The sequence below is a fragment of the Homo sapiens genome, chromosome 5 (assembly GCF_000001405.40).
Source record: "Homo sapiens chromosome 5, GRCh38.p14 Primary Assembly".
NCBI lineage: Eukaryota > Metazoa > Chordata > Mammalia > Primates > Hominidae > Homo > Homo sapiens.
In genome coordinates, this window is record NC_000005.10 from 100,510,332 (window position 1) to 100,533,021 (window position 22,690).

At 36.5% G+C, this 22,690-nt stretch overlaps 1 long non-coding RNA gene across 1 annotated transcript in view, besides 1 other annotated feature; it reads right to left on the reverse strand.

The window, feature by feature from the left end:
- Positions 1 to 22,690, reverse strand: part of FAM174A-DT (FAM174A divergent transcript) — an 84,330-nt gene that overhangs the window by 59,418 nt on the left and 2,222 nt on the right. Inside the window, exon 3 of the long non-coding RNA NR_172939.1 lies at positions 8,199 to 8,280. This is a non-coding gene — a long non-coding RNA (FAM174A divergent transcript). The remainder of the gene's footprint in view (positions 1 to 8,198; positions 8,281 to 22,690) is intronic.
- Positions 7,076 to 7,385: an enhancer, noted in NCBI's record as "active region_22841". NCBI's record gives its function as "activates an Ori minimal core promoter by ATAC-STARR-seq in GM12878 lymphoblastoid cells {active_cell/tissue: GM12878}" and the evidence as "EXISTENCE:reporter gene assay evidence [ECO:0000049][PMID:35858748]".

A 22,690-nucleotide genomic window follows, 5' to 3' on the forward strand; every position in this document is an offset into this window, starting at 1 on the left:
GCACTTGATGTTCTATAGAAACTGGATACAGAGCATGCTATAGCCCTATGATCATTTTACTATTTAGGATACATGACATATAGAGAAAGGAGATTACAGTGACATCAAATTGTACATTTATTAAATTACTGAATTAATCTACATGCATATGCGAGGATAGAGAAATAACCTTAGTGATGTCGTTGATTCACTTAGTCGTCTCCTTAATGAGCATGAATTCTAGGTGTGTACAATGTGAGGAGTAGAAAATTGCTGTTCCCTTACTTGCTCTGTTTGCATCATGTCTCATTCAACATTGATACATTATTGGAATGAAAATTATTCTACATTTATAGCTTGGCATTTTTCAAAAACCATGACTTCACAATATGCGCAAATAAAATAAAATGTGATCAGAAGCAATGATGGGCAATGTGGGAATTTTCAAGGGCAATTTTGACCTTAAAATGTAACCTCCCATATAAGATGAAACTTTTCTGAACTTCACAGTAAATAATTACGCAGTAAATACAAACAAACAAACAACACATACATATACATATGCAAAAATATTTACTTTTTGTTGAGAGGGGAATACGAGAACATTATAAGTAAGAGAAACATCAGAATAGGGGATAGAATGAAACCTAACCTGCTCTATAAGACAGATTGTAAAAGAAGTGTAGTGAATTTGAAATGGTGAAAAATGAGGTGAGACAATTATTAAGGAGCCAGGTATGCGGATTTTTAAACCAAACCTATTAGTTTGATTAGGCTCCAACCGGTAGTGGGGATTAACCAAAGTCTTGACTTACCCAATTTTTATATGTGGTACGTCTGGAAGATTTTATCCTGGGTTGGTAAGAATCTGCTGCCACTGCTACAGGCTAAGAAAGGGTATTTCCTGTGTGTACATATAGACTTGTGAGTGTCTACATTGTTAAAATTGAAATAGCTGTACAATTAAAGAAATCTGTCATAGCATACCCTTTGCCTGAGTACAAAACAGATAAGAAAATATTTTCTTGGTTACTTCTATTGATTAATGTATCCAGGCAAATTAGTGGAATGACTTCCAGCCAAGACTCAGGATCATCTACATCTAGGTCAGTAAGAGTTATCAACAAGCCCTGTCATGAAAACAGTGTCCTATTTTTTTTATTATTCAGACTGAGGTACTGCTTATATTTCAGAATAATTATGAAGAGTGGCAGCAGTTTTATTCTTGATAGGAATTCTACTTTGAAGCATATACTTTCCTTATTACTATGTCATAAGCATAAGTAAATGCTTATTACATTTGTTATAAGCATTTATTTCAGGTTAAAGAATATCGTGATATTTCAAGTTAGCATTTGTAGCTGTTTCCCCATTTGAATCAGGATTTTACCTTTCCTATGAAACCAAAACAAACCAAAAGGACATTACATAGCAACTGTAATTTGTTCGCAAGTATTTTTATCTAAACTGTTTCAATTTCTTGTTGTCTGAAATATAATAAATAAATGTTATCTTACAAATAAGTTTACACTCACTAATCACCATGTTTACAATTTTATTTACTGAGATTTCATGTAAGATTTCTTTTGGGGAAAAAAAGTGTTCATTTCTTAACACTTAAACACACCATTCTGAATTATTGATTGAGGGGGAACCTGAAAAGGAGTTGTAGCATTGATAGAGAATTAGGAATTCTGTAAAATCAAGTCTAGTTTTAGACATTTAAAGTTTGATTCAGTGGCATTAACTGACACTGTAAAATAGACTTATAAATTCCCAAGCAAGTAATATATACTTGAAAGGTATATTTCCAAAGAAATAAGAAAGAGAGTAACAAAGAACCCAACGTAAAAGGCATCTCACAATGAGAGAAAAAGAGGAAACTGCATAATATATATTAAAAATTTTATTTCATAAAACCCAGTTTGAAATACACAGTTTTATTACTATATTTTCACTCATGCTTTAAAGTGAATATGATTATTACAATTATGGCCTGGTTTGAAAGCCCTAGTACCATGTGCCATTTCTGCTCTTCCCATTGAGAGGTGAATTGTATTTGTCTACCCCTTTGAGTCTGGCCTTGGGTCCTGCTTTCACCAATGGAACATGGCAGAAATGACAATGGGAAACTTCTGAGCTATAGTCAAGAAACCATGCACTTTATTAGAAATGTAGACATCACATATGAGGAAGGCCAGACTGATCTAGTCTCCTTGAGAATAAAAAAACACATGGAGAGAGGCCCAGACATCTAGGTGTTACAGCTGAACCTCCATCCAACCCCTTAGCTGGACTTAGCAGCATGAGGGAGCACAGGTAAAAACAGAAGAGGAAACACTCAATTAAACTGAAGATTTGTGAGGCTTAATACATTGTAAATTGTTGTTTTAAGCTACTATGATTTGGAGTACTGTAGCTGTTTTGGAACAATGCATAACTGACACACACACACGCGCACACACACACACACACAGGCTCCTTTCCTTGTTCATTTCAACTATTTTCAATTCATAAGTGTCATATTTACACCTATGTGGTTTGATAAATAAGGTGATATTGTATAGGGTTTCCTAGGGTGGTTAAAACTAGCAGAGTGATTAATACTTATTTAGTCTTTTGTGTATAAAAGCACATTATGATATTAATCAGTTTAGGGATCAACTCAATTTTCTAGTAGAAAGAACACAGGATTTGGAGATTAAAAAAAAAAATTAAAGCAACAACCTGAAGAAAAATTTATTAACTAGGTGACTGAGTGATTTTGGTCAAATTATTTTATCTCTCTAGATCTCTATTTTCTCATTTAGTTAAAAAGAATTTTAAGAGGGATAATTCTCAAGGTTGTAAATGCATATACATATATAGTATGCATATATATGTATGCATATGCATATTTTAACTAAAATTCTTTTCAACTAAATGAGAAAATAGAGATCTAGGAGAGACAAAATAACTTGACCAAAATCACTCAATGCATATACATATATAATAGGCATTTATTTGTATATACATTTAAAACCTAGAGAACTATCTATCTTATATATAATATATATCGATCTTTTAAAAAATATATTAAAAAAAGTTTGTGTTGTTGTTTTGTCTAAGTTATAGTTCAGGAAGTTCTTTAGAATTTGCTGCCAGTATTTTACTTCCTTTACTTAACATAATGTATTGCATTATTCTAAAGTATGAATATATCACTGAAAATATTGCCCCAAATGTTTTACTGAACAATATTTTAAGATGAAACAATTTTACAATGTTACTAATTTCAATACTATTTTATAACATCATTTCATTTATATTAATATTAATAAGAATAGAATCTCAAAATTAAATAAGTGAAACTAATGTATCTCTGTGACTCTGATATCCACAAAATAAAGTATGAATACCGAGTGAACAGATGAAGGCAAACAAAAAAATTAAAAATATAACATACATCTCAGTTTGTCAAACAATATATTCATTGTAGTAAGAAGACTCTGCCACAGACTTCTAGGTGTGGCATCTTATCCATTCACTGCTGGCATGCTAGCCAATCATATTTCGACGTATTTGACAAGTCAAATAAAGTAGAAAAAACTACTTGTAAACATACTTAGATTATTCAAATCTAGGAAGATCTGCTCACGAAGAAATGACATCAGAAACTCTTAATGTTAACAATTTGAAGACTTATTATGTCAATCATAAACTTCAAATTTTCTCCTTGCAGTTATTATGTTTAATGTGTAATTCCATTTTTATGGCAAAGGTCACTCTGGCATTTACAGATATTTGAAAAGTATATGTAGGATATTTTAAGTTTCCATGATAATTTTGAATTTTCACTGAAAAATTAGGGAATAAAGGAATTATAACAGCGACTTGTAGAATTTGTGGACTTGATACACAGTTATTATTATCTCATCAAACTACTTTTTTATTTTATTATTATTATACTTTAAGTTTTAGGGTACATGTGCACAATGTGCAAGTTAGTTACATATGTATACATGTGCCATGCTGGTGTGCTGCACCCATTAACTCGTCATTTAGCATTAGGTATATCTCCTAAAGCTATCCCTCCCCCCTCCCCCCACCCCACAACAGTCCCCAGAGTGTGATGTTCCCCTTCCTGTGTTCATGTGTTCTCATTGTTCAATTCCCACCTATGAGTGAGAACATGTGGTGTTTGGGTTTTTGTTCTTGTGATAGTTTACTGAGAATGATGATTTCCAATTTCATCCATGTCCCTACAAAGGACATGAACTCATCATTTTTTATGGCTGCATAGTATTCCATGGTGTATATGTGCCACATTTTCTTAATCCAGTCTATCATTGTTGGACATTTGGGTTGGTTCCAAGTCTTTGCTATTGTGAATAGTGCCACAATAAACGTTCATGTGCATGTGTCTTTATAGCAGCATGATTTATAGTCCTTTGGGTATATACCCAGTAATGGGATGGCTGGGTCAAATGGTATTTCTAGTTCTAGATCTCTGAGGAATTGCCACACTGACTTCCACAATGGTTGAAGTAGTTTACAGTCCCACCAACAGTGTAAAAGTGTTCCTATTTCTCCACATCCTCTCCAGCACCTGTTGTTTCCTGACTTTTGAATGATTGCCATTCTAACTGGTGTGAGATGGTTGATTGCCATTCTAACTGGTGTGAGATGGTATCTCATTGTGGTTTTGATTTGCATTTCTCTGATAGCCAGTGATGGTGAGCATTTTTGCATGTGTTTTTTGGCTGCATAAATGTCTTCTTTGAGAAGTGTCTGTTCATGTCCTTCACCCACTTTTTGATGGGGTTGTTTGTTTTTTTCTTGTAAATTTCTTTGAGTTCATTGTAGATTCTGGATATTAGCCCTTTGTCAGTTGAGTAGGTTGCAAAAATTTTCTCCCATTTTGTAGGTTGCCTGTTAACTCTGATGTTAGTTTCTTTTGCTGTGCAGAAGCTCTTTAGTTTCATTAGATCCCATTTGTCAATTTTGTCTTTTGTTGCCATTGTTTTTGGTGTTTTAGACATGAAGTCCTTGCCCATGCCTATGTCCTGAATGGTAATGCCTAGGTTTTCTTCTAGGGTTTTTATGGTTTTAGGTCTAACGTTTAAGTCTTTAATCCATCTTCAATTAATTTTTGTATAAGGTATAAGGAAGGGATCCAGTTTCAGCTTTCTACATATGGCTAGCCAGTTTTCCCAGCACCATTTATTAAATAGGGAATCCTTTCCCCATTGCTTGTTTTTCTCAGGTTTGTCAAAGATCAGATAGTTGTAGATATGTGGCGTTATTTCTGAGGGCTCTGTTCTATTCCATTGATCTATATCTCTGTTTTGGTACCAGTACCATGCTGTTTTGGTTACTGTAGCCTTGTAGTATAGTTTGAAGTCAGGTAGCGTGATGCCTCCAGCTTTGTTCTTTTGGTTTAGGATTGACTTGGCGATGCGGGCTCTTTTTTGGTGCCATATGAACTTTAAAGTAGTTTTTTCCAATTCTGTGAAGAAAGTCATTGGTAGCTTGATGGGGATGGCATTGAATCTATAAATTACCTTGGGCAGTATGGCCATTTCCACAATATTGATTCTTCCTACCCATGAGCATGGAATGTTCTTCTATTTGTTTGTATCCTCTTTTATTTCATTGAGCAGTGGTTTGTAGTTCTCCTCGAAGAGGTCCTTCACATCCCTTGTAAGTTAGATTCCTAGGTATTTTATTCTCTTTGAAGCAATTGTGAATGGGAGTTCACTCATGATTTGGCTGTCTGTTTGTCTGTTATTGGTGTATAAGAATGCTTGTGATTTTTGTACATTGATTTTGTATCCTGAGACTTTGCTGAAGTTGCTTATCAGCTTAAGGAGATTTTGGGCTGAGACAAGGGGGTTTTCTAGATATATAATCATGTCATCTGCAAACAGGGACAATTTGAAACTACTTCTGAAAGTCTTATAAATGATTTAAAAATTAATTAAATTAGGATCATTTTTGGTTTGTGTTACTACTTGAGATATTTGAAGACATTTAAAAATACTCCAAAATTGTAGTTGTCATCTAAGAGCAATGAATGAAAAATGAAAGTAACTTTTTGAAACTCTCTGTAGAAGATGGCAGATTGTAGGCATAGTTAGAATGCATCACTCACTTGGAAAGACAAAATAGCATGTAGAGATTCACACTGAAAACTTTTTCCCATGAAGCAACACAAGAACTTAACAGAAAAGTTTCATTTAAAACCACAGACCCTTTGAAAGCAGTGGCAGGCAGCAGCCTACACCACTAACTAAGATGGCAAACTGAGTCTCCAGAGCATAATATTAGGGAGAGACTGCCACTGTGACATATGCTCCAACAGGAGGGACAGGAAATCCAGGTTACGGGGCAAGGTCTTAACCCTATCCACTGCTGGAGCTGATTTCATGAACAGTCTGGACTACATGAGAAGGATGCTTTGTGTGCACCCCGAGACTCCAGTGGCCATGGAGGGAAGCCATTCCTGATCCTACTGCACAGGGGAAGTTGTGAAAGTCTGCCAGCTAACTCAGGTGGTGGTCATAGGTTCAGAGACGCTCCCAACTTAGATCTGTGATATAATCTGGATTGGGGATGAACCCCATTGGCCAGAATTGAGAGGTCAGCAGGAAATGTGCTATTCCCATGGGTGCAGGAGCTGAAAAACCCTGCTTCATGGGTGGACTGGGAGAAACATTGCCTGAAAGCCACAGTTTCTGTCTCCAGCAAAAAGGTTTGTGTCCTGGGGGCAGTTTTGTGTTGAGTGCAGAATGCCTGGGACCCAGCTAGCTGCTCCTAGCAGAACACCATGGACCTTCCTTGCCAAGTATGTGGGGGCTGAGTGGGGCTTATTGGCACCTGCTAACCCCCCAAACCCCATGCAAATTCTTTTGTGTAGCAGAGGCAGCTGTGCTCTTCCCTGGAACATTACTCCAGCAGCCAGGGAACTTCCCTCTCTTCCTCACCGGGCTACTGCTTGCACCTGCATGTAGGGAGCGAAAGGATGGAATTGCCTGACCCAGCCCCCACCTGGCTTTGCCCTACCACCTGTCCTGGTACTGCAACACAAGAGGCCCTCGTAGTACAACAAGGAGTAGGGACCTATGGGAGCTCCATGGCCCCTCCCAGTGCCTGAGGCACTAGAGTGCCTCTCCTGAGTAACAAAAGGCAAGCATAGATTCAACCACTACCACTGCACCTGGCGTTCTTTTGTAAGTGCCACCTTCTGGCTGGAGGCCAGCTGGCACAGCCCGTTACAACATCTGCAGGCACAATAACACAGCACTTAGGAAGAAGAAAATTTTTGCTCAACCTCAGCCATTGACATTGCTTGCATCAGCTTGGGTAACCAGGAGCTCTTGAGCCAGTCCATGTGCCCAGTACAATACTACTGCAGCTGACATTTCAAAAAGCCAACACATGAAAGCTATTTATAACCATAGAAATCTAAGAGTCTATGTCACTCCCCTCCCACTCCCATCAGAGCTGACGTTGGTACCAACAGCTGGAAGACTTGAGAACAGGTCACATCACTGGATTCCCTGAACCAGCCTGGAGTGTGGCAGCCCCACTGGGCAACTAGACCCAGGGCAGCAGCAGGACTCACAGCAGTCTGCTCAGGGACTTCTACTTACTGGGGAAGAGGGAGTGTACCACATTAAGGGAGCACCCAATGTAACCTCAAGTCCCTGAACTTTCCACTTGTGAGAAGTTTCTTTCAGCAGAGGCACAAGTGCAATGCTGGGCTCAGTGGGGAAGTCTGCAGCTCTATCCCAACAGTCAGACAGCCCTGAGGCTCATGAGGAGAACTGGAGAAGGAGACTTCTTCCCCTCACTCACCACTGCAGACACAGCTGGGGGTTCTCCTAAGGTAACCTATCATGGGTGCATCTGTAGACAGCCTTTCAGACTGCATTCTCACAGAAGGAGTGCCCCCAGGTTTATGCTTGGACAAGAGGTAGAGTGACAATCCCTGTCTCCATGAAACATCAGCATTCCTGCAGATGAAAAGAGGTGCCTGTCTGATCTGAATAGCTGGAACACTGCAACAGGAGTGTGTCTTGGAGGTGAAACACTTGGCTGCTGGCCTAGAAGGAGAGCTATGGTGACTCCCTCCCTTTCCCCTGAAAATATCTCAGAGTATTTCACTGAGAACTTCCCCAGCCACCTCTTTTAAGGCTGGGACCTCTGCCCATCATTGGAGTATTGCATTTACCTACCTGTTTAGCCGCAGCCAGTTTTTACCCATGTGCACAGCCTACTGGCTCGATGCATGAACTCTTCAAATCAGTGAATAAGATCCTAGGGGAAAGAAATTATTTTTAGGTGTACACCACTAGGGAATGAGTTAAGCTTCATAAAATCGCTGCTATTCCAGCCTCACAGGAGACAGTGAACCTACTCCAACACCTAGTACATCATTATTAAAACTAGCATCTGAGAAAGTCATTGCACATTGTTTCTCTACAACCAAGGAATTCATACAGTCTTTGCCACTGAAGGCACTCAGAGCCAAAGCTAGGTGAAAATAAACAATAAAGTCTCATCCTCAAGGGGAAAAAAAATAAGGATCAAAAAAAGCAGTCAAAAATAAATTCAAAAATAATTACACTAGTCTACACAAATGAAACAGAACCAGAAAAATAATTAAAATAATTCTGGAAATATGAAAAAAACAGTTATGTAACACTCCCCAAAGATCACACTAATTCTCCAGCAGTAGATTCAACCCAAGATGAAATCACTGAAATACCAGATAAAGAATTCAAAGGGTTGATTACTAATTTACTTAAGGAGATACAAGAGAAAGGTGAAAACCAACATAAAGAATCATTTTTTAAAAAACTAAGAATATAAATGAAAAAATTTTAAAGAGGTAGATATTTTAAAGAAAAATGTTTCATAACTTCTGAAAATGAAAGAAACATTTAGGGAACTAGAAAATGCAACTGAAAGTTTTAACATAGACAGACCAAGTATTGAATTTCACAGGTCAAAGAGAAGGCTCTTGAATTAACCTAATAAGAACAAAAAAAAGAATAAAAAAGAATTAGAATAAATGAACAAAGTCTCTGAGAAATATGCATTTTTGTAAAATGGCCAAACTTAATCATTATAGGTGTTTCTGAGGGAGAAAATAAAAGCAAAATGTTTGGAGAACTTCTAGAGGGAATAACTTAGGAAAATTTCTCTGGCGTTGCTATAGCTTTTGACTTCCAAATATAAAAAATTTAACTCCTGGGAGACTCATTGCAAAAAGACAACACCAAGGCATATAGTCACCAGGCTATCTAAAGTCAATGTGAAGGAAAGAATTCTAAGAGTAGTGAGACAAAAGCATCAGGTAACCTATAAAGGAAAAGCTCTCAGACTAATAGCAGACTTCTTAGTAGAAACCGTACAAGTTAGAAGAGATTGGGGTACTACCTTTAGTCTTCTTAAACAGAGTAACTGTCAGCCAAGAATTTTATATCCAGCAAAACTAAATTCCATAAATGAAGAAGACATAAAGTCTTTCTTTGACAAGCAAATGCTAAGGGAATGTGTCACTCAAGGATAGCCCTACAAAAAAATGCTAAAAGGAGTTCTAATTGTTGAAACAAAAGATTGATACCCACCAGAATAGAAACTCCTGAAAGCATAAAATTCACAGGACTTATAAAACAATAACACAATGCAAAAAACAAAGTCACTAGGTAACCATCAATACGATGACTGAAACAGTATCTCACATCTCAACATTAATGTTGAATATAAATGGTCTCTATAATCTACTTAAAAGATACATTGTCAGAATGAATTTTTTTTAAAAAATCACAAACCAAATATCTGCTGTCTTCAGGAGACCCACCTCACATGTAAGGATCCTTATAGAGTCAAAGTAAATGGAGGGGGGAAAGATATTTCATGCAGATAGAAACCACAACTGAGGAGGAGTAGCTATTCTTAGATAAAATTGATTTTAAAGCAATAGCAAAAAGAGACAACAAAGGGTAGAAGGCAGGACTAGCTTGCACCTCCCGCTTGGACAAACAGAGCAGCATGTCAGAGCCTCTGAGCTCAGACATGCCTATCCCTACCCCCACCTGGTGGTCTTTCTGTACTAGCCCTGGTAGCCAAAGACAATGGTCATAATCTCCTGGGAGCTCTACTGCACTGCCCACCACCTGGCAAACCTGAATACTTAACCAAGTGTACCTAGGGCAAGTTTGCATCCTCCCTATAGGACTGCAGCTGATGCACTCCTGAAAGCGCCACCTCCTGGCAGGAGCCCAATCAACACAAAACCAGCACACCAAACAAAAATACAACCAAGGACCCTCACAGAGTCCATTTCATTCCCCTGCTACATCCACTGGGGCATGTGCTGGTATTCATGGCTGCAAGACCTGAAGATGGATCACATCACAGGACTCTGCAGACACTCCCCAGTACCAACTTGGAGCCCAGTAGCTCCATTGGGTGACTAGGCCCAGAAGAGCAAAAATAATTATGACAGTTCAGCTCTCAGGAAGCCCCATTCCTAGGAGAGGGGAGAGAACACTACATAAAGGGTGCAGCCCATGGGGCAAAATAATCTAAACAGCAGCCCTTGAATCCCAGATCTTCCCTCTGACATAGTCTACCCAGATGAGAAGGAACCAGAGAAGCAATTCTGGTAGTATGACAAAACAAGGTTCTTTAACGCCCTCAAAAGATCATACCAGCTAACCGGCAACAGATCCAAACCAAGGCAAAAATCTCTGAATTGTCAGAAATAGAATTCAAAAGGTTGATTATTAAGCTAATCAAGGAGGCATCAGGGAAAAGTGAAGTCCAACTTAAATAAATCAAAAAGATGATACATGATATGAAAGGAAAGTTCTTCAGTGAGATTGATAGCATTAATAAAAAACAACCACAACTTCTGGAAATCAAGGACACAGAGAATTGGAAAATACACTGGAAAGTCTCAGTAATAGAATCAAACAAGTGGAAGAAAGAACTTCAGAGCTCAAAGACAAAGCTTTTGAATTAACCCAATCCATCAAAGACAAAGAAAAAAGAATAAAAAATGAACGAAGCCTCCAAGAAGTCTGGAACTATGTTAAAAGTCCAAACCTAAGAATAACTAGTGTTCCTGAGGAAGAAGAGAAACCTGAAAGTTTGGAAAACATATTTGAGGGAATTATCAAGGACAACTTCCCCAGCCTTGCTAGAGATCTAGACATCCAAATACAAGAAGCTCAAAGAACACCTGGTAAATTCATTGCAAAGAGATCATTGCCTAGGCACACAGTCATTAGGTTATCTAAAGTCAAGACAAAGGAAACAATATTAAGAGCTGTGAGGCAATAGCATCAGGTAACCTATAAAGGAATACCTATCAGATTAACAGCAGATTTCTTAGGAGAAACCCAACAAGCTAGAAGAGATTGGGGTACTATTTTTAGCCTCCTTATACAAAACAACTATCAGGCAAGAATTACGAATCCAGAGAAACTAAGCTTGATTAAATGAAGGAAAGATACAGTCTTTTCCAGACAAACAAATGCTAAGAGAATTTGACACTACCAAGCCAGCACTACAAGAACTGCTAAAAGGAACTCTAAATCTTTAAACAAATATCTGAAATACACCAAAATAGAACGTCCTTAAAGCATAAATCTCACAGGACCTGCTAACAATAACACAATGAAAAAAATGTATTTGGGCAAAAAATAGCATGATGAATAGATAGTACTTCATATCTCAAAACTAACATTGATTATAAATGGCCTAAATGCTCCACTTAATAGATACAGAATGGGAGAATGGATAAGAATTCCCCAAGCAAGTTTCTGCTGTCTTCAGGAGACTCACCTAACACACAAGGACTAACATCAACTGAAGGTAAAGGGGTGAAAAACGATATTGCATGCAAATGGACACCAAAAGTGGGCAAAAGTAGCTATTCTTATATCAGACAAAACCAACTTTAAAGCAACAGCAGTTAAAAAAGACAACAATAAACATTGTCTAATGATAAAAGGACTAGTCCAACAGGAAAATATCAAAATTACAAATATATATGCACCTAACACTGGAGTTCCCAAATTTACAAAACAATTACTACTAGACCTAAGTAATGAGACAGAATGCAATACAAAAATAATGTGGGACTTTAATACTCCACTGACAGCACTAGACAGGTCATCAAGACAGGAAGTCAATGAAGAAACAATGGACCTAAACTATAACCTACAACAAATGGACTTAACAGATATTTACAGAACATTCTACCCAACAACTGTAGAATATACATTCTATTCATCACCACATGAAACATTCTCCAAGACAGACCATATGGAAGGCTACAAGTCTCAGTAAATTTTTTAAAAAATCGAAATTGTATCAAGTACTCTCCCAGACCACAGTGGAATAAAATTAGAAATCAACTCCAAAAGGAACCCTCAAAACCATGCAAATACATGAAAATTAAATAACCTGCCTCTGAATGATCATTGGGTAAATAATAAAATCAAGATGGAAATCTAAAAATTCTTTGAACTGAACGATAATAGTGACACACAAACTACCAAAACCTCTGGGATACAGCAAAAGCAGTGCTAAAAGGAAAGTTCACAGCATTAAATGCCTACATCGGAAAGTCTGAAAAAGCAATAGACAATCTAAGGTCACCGTCACAGAACTGGAGAAACAAGAACAATCCAAACCCAAAACCAGCAGAAAAGAAGTAATAAAGATCAGAGCAGAACTAAATGAAATTGGAACAAACACACAAGCAAAAACAATACAAAAGATAAATGAAACAAAAAGCTGGTTCTTTGAAAAGATAAATAAAATTGACAAACAATTAGTGAAATTAACCAAGAAAAGAAGAGAGAAAATCCAAATAAGCTCAGTTGGAAATGAAATGGGGCTGGGTGCAGTGGTTCATGCCTATAATCCCAGCACTTTGGGAGGCTGAGGTGAGTGGATCACTTGAAGTCAGGAGTTTAAGATCAGCCTGGCCAACATGGTGAAACCCTGTCTCTACCAAAAATGCAAAAATTAGCTGGGCATACTGGTGCATGCCTGTAATCCCAGTTACTCGGTAGGCTGAGGCAGGAAAATTGCTTGAAGCCTGGAGGCAGAGGTTGCAGTGAGCCGAGATCACACCACTGCACTCCAGCCTGGGTGACAGAGCGAGACTCTTTCTCAAAATATAAATAAATAAATAAACAAATAAAATAAGAAATGGAATGGAAGATATTACAATTGACACCATGGAAATACAAAAGATTATTCAAGGCTACTATGAACACCTTTGTGTGCATAAACTAGAAAACCCAGAGGAGATAGATAAATTCCTGGAAATATACAACCTTCCCAGATTAAACCAGGAAGACATAGAATCTCTGAACAGACCTATAACAAGAAGTGGCGAGACTGAAATGGTAATTTAAAAACTGCCAACCCAAAAAACAGCCCAGGATTTACAGCTGCATTCTATCAGGCATTCAAAGAAGAATTGGTACCAATCCTATTCACACTATTCCAAAAAATACAGAAAGATGGACTCCTCCCTAAATCATTCTATGAAGCCAGTATTACCCGAATACTAAAACCAGGGAAGAACGTAACAAAAAAAGGAAACTACAGACCAATATCCTTGATGAGCGTAGATGCAAAAATCCTTAACAAAATACTAGAGAACTGAATCCAACAGCATATCAAAAAGATAATCTACCAAGATGAAGTGGGTTTCATACCAGGGATACAGGGATGGTTTAACATATGGAAGTCAATAAATGTGATACATCACATAAACAAAATTAGAAACAAAAATCACATGATAATCTCAATAGATGTGGAAAAAGCGTTTGACCAAATCCAGCATCCATTTATGATTAAAACCCTCAGCAAAATTGACATAGAAGGGACAAACCTTAAGGTAATAAAAGCCATCTATGACAAACCCACAGCCAACATTATACTGAATGGCAAAAAGTTGAAAGCATTCCCCCAAAAACTGGAACAAGACAAGGATGCCCACTTTCACCATTCCTATTCAACATATTATTGGAAGTCCTAGCCAGAGCATTCAAACAAGGTAAAGAAATAAAGGGCATCCAAATCGATAAACAGAAAGTCAAACTGTTGCTGTTGCTTGATGTTATCATTGTAACCTAGAAAACCCTAAAGACTCATCCAAAAAGCTCCTAGAATTGGTAAATGAATTCAGCAAAGTTGCAGGGTACAAAATTAATGAACTACAAATCAGTATCTCTGCTACACACCAACAGTGACCAAGCTGAGAATACAATCAACAACTCATCCACTTTCACAATACTTGCAAAAAAAAAAAAAATACTTAGGAATATACCTAACCAAGTGCAGGGAAGACATCTACAAGGAAAACTACAAAACACTGCTGAAAAAAATCATAGATGACACAAACAAATGGTAATACATCCCATGCTCACGGATGGGTAGAATCAATATTGTAAAAATGATTATACTGCCAAAAGCAATCTACAAATTCAATGCAATTCTCATCAAAATACCACCATCATTTCTTCACAGAACTACAAAGAAAATATCCTTAAATTCATACAGCACCAAAAAAGAGCCCACATAGCCAAAGAAATACTAAGCAAAAAGAATGAAGACTTCATGACCAAGAAACCAAAGGCAAATGCAACAAAAAGTAAGATAAATAGATGAGACTTAATTAAACTAAAAAGCTACTGCACAGCAAAAGAAATAATCAGCAGAATTAGTAGGCAACTCACACAGTGGGAGAAAATCTTCACAATCCGTACATCTGACAAAGGACTAATATCCAGAAACTACAAAGAACTCAAACAAACTGGCAAGAAAGAAAAAAAAAATCCCATCAAAAAAGTGGGCTAAGGACATAAATAGACAATTCTCAAAAGAAGATATACAAATGACCCACAAGAATATGGAAAAATGCTTAACCTCATTAATTATCAGAGAAATGCAAATCAAATCCACAATGTGATACCAGCTCACTCCTGCAAGAATGGTCATCATTCAAAAAATCAAAAAATAAGAGGTGTTAGCATGGATTCAGTGAAAAGAAAACACTTTTACGCTGTTGGTGGGAATGTAAACTAGTACAACCAGTATGGAAAACTGTGCAGATTCCTTAAAGAACTAAAAGTAGATCTACCGTTTGATCCAGTAATCTCGCTATTAGGTATCTACCCAGAGGAAAAGAAATCATAATACGGAAAAAAAAAAACTTGCACATGCATTTATATAGCAGCACAATTTGCAACTGCAAAAATATGGAAGCAGTCCAAATGCCCATCAATCAATGAGTGGATAAAGAAAATGTGAGATATATATATATATATGTATATATGTGTGTATATATATGTATATATGTGTGTATATATGTATATATATGTGTATATATGTATATATATGTGTATATATGTATACATATGTGTATATATGTATATATATGTGTATATATGTATATATATGTGTATATATATATGTATATATACACACACACACACACACAAACACACACACACCCCCCATGGAATACTACTCAGCCATAAAGAGGAATGAAATAATGGCATCTGCAGCAACCTGGATGGAATTGGAGACTATTCTTTTAAGTGAAGTAACTCAGGAATGGAAAACCAAACATCATATGTTCCCACTCATATGTGGGAGCTAAGCTATGAGGATGCAAAGACATAAAAAGGATACATTGGACTTACTTTGGAGATGTAGGGGAAAGGGTGGGGTGGGGGGGGGATAAAAGACTACAAATTGTGTACAGTGTACACTGCTTGGTTGATGGATGTACCAAAATCTCAGAAATCACCACTAAATGACTTATTCATGTAATCAAACACCACCTGTTCCCCAAAAACCTATTGAAATAAAAAAAATTAAATATTTACTTAAAAAAGACAACAAACATCATTATATAATGATGAAAGGATGAATTCAACAAGAAGAAATAACAATTCAAAATATATATGCACCTAGGTCTGGAGCTCCCAGATTCATAAAGCAATTACCAGTAGATCTAAAAAAAGAGATAGATAGAAACACAGTATTAGTGGAATACTTCAGCACTCCACTGAAAGCACTAAACAAATCATCAAGGCAGAAAGTCAACAAAGAAATAATGAACTTAAATTGCACTCTAGAACAAATGGATCTAACAGATATTTAGAGAACACTCCATCCAAGAATTGCAGAATATGCATTCTTCTCATCAGCACACAAAACATTCCCCAAGCTCATAGTGTAGTTTAGATATTTACCCAGCATCACTGACCCGCTTATTCAATTTGCCATTGCCTCTTGGTATGCTTCTTCTTATTTATATTTTTTTTTTTACTTAGGTTGAAATTGAAGATACATATGCTACTCTTCGCCAACATCCTAGCCTAGTGCACTGCAACCTCAAGAAAGAGATTTGATTTACAATACCATATTATTAACTATAGTCACCCCACTGTGCAACAGAACACCAGAACTTATTCTAATTGTAATTTGGAATATCTCTGCATAGCTAGAAGACAGAAATTTGAATGTTCCCACCACACACACAAAAATAAATGTTTGAGGTGATTAATATGCTAATTACTCTGATTTGATCATTACACAATGTATACATGTATCAACACATCACATTGTACCCTATAAATATGTATAATTTTCAATTAAAATTTTTAAAAAAGAGCTTTGAAAAATTTACAGAATATGTAAGTAACTGTGAATACAGTTTTTTATTATGTCTTATTAGATATATGTAAGAAAATATCACTCAATTACAGAAAATATGTTAAGGGAAGTAGAAACTGGGAATTCCAGTGTTAATATCCACATTGTTCCTATGTTTTGTTTAAAAACATCTCTGTTAAACATGAATCACTAGAGGATACAAATAAATACACCAATCCTAGAAACATACACTAAATATCCTGTTACGTGAAAACTACTTATTCTCTCACAGAAGAAGAAAGATGAAAAGAAACTCTGTAATTTAAAGGCTTCCTGATTAATCTGAAGCCAAGACAAACATATGGGATGGGAGAAAAAAAAAAGGCAAGTATTCAAGAATGATGTTGATTACAAGACACTATGTTAAAAATTATTTTACTTGTCACTAGGGAAAAAGTAATCTCCATTCTAAGAATGTATTATTCTAAGCTTTCTGATAAACATTTTTAAAATATGTTGTGTGCTTGATGTGATTCATTAATTCATTCATTTATTCATACTTTCAATTGATCAAATCTGTGTTGAGCACTACATGAATATCCCAGTAACCTCTAAGAGTATGGTAGCTGCTTCACACCTATACTCTCATAGTCATAAGGCAGTCTGCCCCACTTTCTGGCCACATCAGGAAAGCTCTAACTTGACGCCTGAAAATGTGATATGTGTGGTGTGTGTGTGTCTGTATGCCATAGAATACCACTCAGTCATTAAAAAAAGAACAAAATAATGTATTTTGCATCAAAGATGGTACTAGAGGTCATTATCCTTAGGGCAATCACTCAGATACAGAAAGGGAATAATTGCATGTTCTCACTTACAAGTGGAAGCTAAACAATGGGTATACATGGACATACAGTGTGGAATAATAGACATTGAAGACAACAAAAGGTGGAAGAGGAAGGGTGGTGATGATTGAAATACTACCTATTGGGTATAATGTACACTAGTACACTACTCGGGTGATGGGTAAACTAAAAGCCCAAACTTCACCTCTACACAATACATCTATAGAACACAACTGTACTTGTACCCCTTAATCTATGAAAATTAAAAATTAAAAAATATTTTTGAAAAGATCAAAAATGTGAAATTCACAGTTTGTTTATAATAGTGGGATTTCTGAAGGAAATATATTTGAATATCTAGGGTCACAGAATAAAAGTAATTCAATATAAAATAATATTCAGAAAATGATTTAAATGTGCTTATACATTCATTGGGAATATCAAATATATGATTGTATTATTATTTCATTAGCAGAATACAAGAAATATTAATTTATGCTCATCAAAAGGTAAGTTTATTTTGGTCAATTTCCAAAAATCTCCTGAGGTCTGGGCTTAACTGTGTCTTTGGAAAGATTTCTGTCTTGATAAAACAGAAGGGGTTATTCACTACTACTCTTTTTGCTGTTGTTTTTGTTGTTGTTTGAATGTTCCTTTAATTTCTTTATCTTTTTTTTCTTGAACTTTTAAGTTCAGGGGTACATGTGCAGGAGTGCAGATTTGTTAGAGGTAAACGTATGCCATGGTGGTTTGCTGCACAAATCATCCCATCACCTAGATATTAAGCCCAGCATCCATTAGCTATTCTTCCTGATGCTCTTCCTCCCCACAACACCGCCCCTCCCACAGGCCCCAGTATGTGTTATTCCCCCCATGTGTCCGCGTGTTCTCATCATTCAGCTCCCACTTATAAGTGAGAACATGTGGTGTTTCCTTTTCTGTTCCTGCACTAGTTTGCTAAGGATGATGTCGTCCAGCTCCATCCGTGTCCCTGCAAAGGACATGATATGTTTTCTTGTTATGGCTGCATACTATTCCATGGTATATATGTACCGTATTTTCTTTATCCAGTCTATCATTGGTGGGCATTTAGGATGATTCCATTTCTTTGCTATTGTGAATAGTCCTGCAATGAACACACACATGCATGTATCCTTACAATAAGAATGATTTATATTCTTTTGAGTATATACCCAGTAATGGGAATGCTGAGTCAAATGATATTTCTGCCTGTAGGTCTCTGAGGAATCATAATACTGTCTTCCACAATGGTTGAACTAATTTACACTCCCACAAACAGTGTAAAAGTATTGCTTTTACACTGTTCCTTTTACACAGAAATAAAAGAATACCCTTTCTTTCTCTTGCCTGATTGCCCTGTCCAGAACTTCCAATACTCTGCAACCTCATTGGCATGTTTTTTTGACTTTTTAGTAACAGCCATTTTTACTGGCATGAGTTGGTATCTCATTGTGGTTTTGATTTGCATTTCTCTGATGATCAGTGATGTTGAGCTTTTTTTATATGACTGTTGGCCACAGGTATGTCTTATGAGAGTCTGTTTATGTCCTTTGTCCACTTTTTAATGGGGTTATTTTTTCTTGTAAACTTAAGTTCCTTGCAGACTCTGTGTATTAGACCTTTGTCAGATGGACAGATTGCAAAAATTTTCTCCCATTCTATAGGCTGTCTGTTCACTCTGATGATAGTTTCTTTTGCTGTGCAGAAGCTCTTTAGCTTAATTAGATCTCATTTCTCAATTTTTGCTTTGGTTGCAATTGCTTTTGGCATTTTCATCATGAAATGTTTGCCCGTGCCTTTGTCCTTACTGGTACTGCCTAGATTTTCTTCTCAGGTTTGCATAGTATTGTTTTACATTTAAGTCTTTAATCAATCTTGAGTTAATTTTTGTACATGGTGTAAGGAAGGGGTCCAGTTTCAATTGTCTGCATATGGCTAGCCACTTCTCCCAGCACCATTTATTAAATAGGACATTTTTTCCCCATTGCTTGTTTTTGTCAGGTTTGCCAAAGATCAAATGGTTATAGGTATGTGACCTTATTTCTGAGTTCTCTATTCTGTTCCATTGCTCTATGCATCTGTTTTTATACCAGTACTACTCTGATTTGGTTACTGTAGCCTTGTAGTATAGTTTGAAGTTGGGCAGTGTGATGCATCCAGCTTTGTTCTTTTTGCTTAGGATTGTTTTGGCTATTCAGGTTCCTTTTCATTCCATATGAATTTTAAAATAGTTTTTTTTTTTTTTACATTCTGTGAAGAATGTCAGTGGTAGTTTAATAGAATTAGTATTGAATCTATACATTACTTTTGGCAGTATGGCCATTTTTGCAATATTGATTCTTCTTATCCATAAGCATGGGATATTTTTCCATTTGTTTGTGTCCTCCCTGATTTGAGCAGTGGTTTTGTTTCTCCTTGAAGAAGTCCTTCCCTTCCCTTGTTAGCTGTATTCTTAGGTATTTTATTCTTTTTGTGGCAATTGTGAATGGAGTTCATTCCTGATTTGGCTGTTAGTGTATAGAAATGCTAACAATTTTTGCATTGATTTTGTATCCTGAGACTTTTCTGAAGTTGCTTATCAGTGTAAGAAGCTTTGGCGCTGAGACTATAGAGCTTTCTAGATACAGAATCATGTGATCTTCAAACAAAGGTAATTTGACTTCCTCTCTTCCTATTTGAATACCCTTTATTTCTTTCTCCTGCCTAATTGCCCTGGCCAGAACTTCCAATACTCTGTTAAATAGGAGTGGTGACAGAAGGCATCCTTGTCTTGTGCTGGCTTTCGAGGGGAATGCTTCCAGCTTTTATCCATTCGGTATGATATTGGCTGTGGGTTTGTTATAAATGGCTATTATTATTTCAAGGCATCTTCCTTCAATATCTAGTTTATTGAGCATTTTTAACATAACGGGATGTTGAATTTTATTAAAGGCCTTTCTACATCTATTGAGATAATCATGTGGTTTTTGCTTTTAGTTCTATTTATGTGATTAATTACATTTATTGATTTGCATATGTTGAACCAACCTTGCATTCCAGAGGTGAAGCCAACTGGATCGTGGTGGATAAGCTTTTTGCTGTGCAGTATTGGTCTATTCTGAGATTCAAGTTCTTCCTGGTTCAGTCTTGGGAGGGTGTATGTGTCTAGAAATTTATCCATTTCTATGAGATTTTCTAGTTTATGTGCATAGACGTGTTTATAGTATTCTCTGATGGTTGTATTTCTGTGGGGTCAGTAGTAATACCCCCTTATCATTTCTGGTTGTGTTTTTTTGATACTTCTCTCTTTTCTTCTTTATTAGTCTAGTCAGCAGTCTATTTTATTACTTTCTTCAGAAAACTAGTTCCTGGATTCATTGATTTGTTTAAGAGCATTTTGTGTCTCTATCTCCTTCAGTTCAGCTCTAATCTTGGTCATTTCTTGTCTTCTGCTAGCTTTAGGATTTGTTTGCTCCTGGCTCCTAGTACTTTTAGTTGAGATGTTAGGTTGTTAACTTGAGATCTTTCTAGCTTTCTGATGTGTTCATTTAGTGCTATGAAGTTCCCTCTTAACACTGCTTTAGCTGAGTCCCAGAGATTCTGGTATGTTGTCTCTTTGTTCTCTTTAGTTTCAAATAACTTCTTGATTGTAGCTTTAATTTCACTATTTCCCCAAGAGTCATTCAGGAGCAGTTTGTTTAATTTCCATGTAGTTGTGTGGTTTTGAGCGAATTTCTTAATCTTGAGTTCTAACTTGAATGCACTGTGGTCTGATAGACTGTTATGATTTAAGTTCCTTTGCATTTGCTGAGGAGTGTTTTACTTCTGATTATTTGATCAATTTTAGAGTAAGTGTCATGTGGCAATGAGAAGAATGTTATGCTCTGTTGTTTTGGGATGGAGAACTCTGTAGATATCTATCAGGTCCACTTGATTCAGAGCTGAGTTCAGGTCCTTAATATCTTTGTTAATTTTACGTCTTGATGATCTGTCTAATATTGTCAATGGGGTGTTAAATTCTCCCACTACTATTGTGTGGGATTCTAAGTCTCTATGTAGGTCTCTAAGAACTTGCTTTGTGAATCTAGCTCCTCCTGTATTGGGTGCTTATATATTTAGCATAGTTAGCTCTTCCTGTTAAACTCTTCACCATCATGTAATGCCCACCTTTGTCTTTTTTGATATACTCTTTTTTAGCACTGTGCTAAATTCTGAGTATTGAGTAGTGAATAAATGAGATTGACCCTTGCTTCATAGAACTTAGGTTCAAGTGGTAAAAATAATCACACTAATTTTGGAATCTTAAGTGTGTGTTATAAATGAAACATACAAGATCTATACTACAAATTTTGTAAACTGCTGTTTTAGGTAGAGTGGACAGGATAGTTTGTCTCTTAGCTGCTTTCAGGGAGCAGGGTAAGGCAGTTGCTTCTGGCTGGCAGAACTGCAAGGATTAGGCATCTTAATGTTGAGTTTCAGTGTAAAGAAGCCCATTTGTGGTACACCCTAGTGTCAGCTTCCAAATGGCATTTATCAGTAATAAAATGCCCTTTTGATTTCCCATCTTCCTTACTCAGAACTTCATTCCACATTATAAATGGAATAGAGTTAGTATTTAATGCCTCTCCCAAAAAATAGAATAGAGTTAGTATTTAATGCCTCCTCCCAAAAAAGTCCAACATTCAACTTGTCAAAAAAAAAAAAAGGAATGACAAAAAAGAAAATGTGCATTATCTTTCCTTCCTTCCAAAATCTGATTTTGTCATGTTCTTCATCTTGATTAATGGCATTATCATTCTCCCAGATGTGCAGGCATAAAACCTTGGTATCATTTGTTACCCCAAATTCCCATCTGCAGCAGTCCTTGGCAATAACTGGGACATGCAAAGAGCTAAATGATTCTGAAATCTTAGAATCAAACTATTGTTTCCAAATGATTAGGAAAGCTATGTTCTAATGTTTCTCAAAATGCAGCTCTCAATTACCCAAAACAGAATAAGAAAGGGAATTTGTTAAAATTGGAGATTCTAGATCACTATTTTAGAAATTCTGGACAGAATTTTTGGAAGTGGAGACATGGACTATATATGCATTTTTAACAAGCTCTCAGAGTGATTTTCATGTACACTGAAATTTAAGAATCTCTTTCCTTTCCCTTACTACCTGCATCCAGATATTGTCAT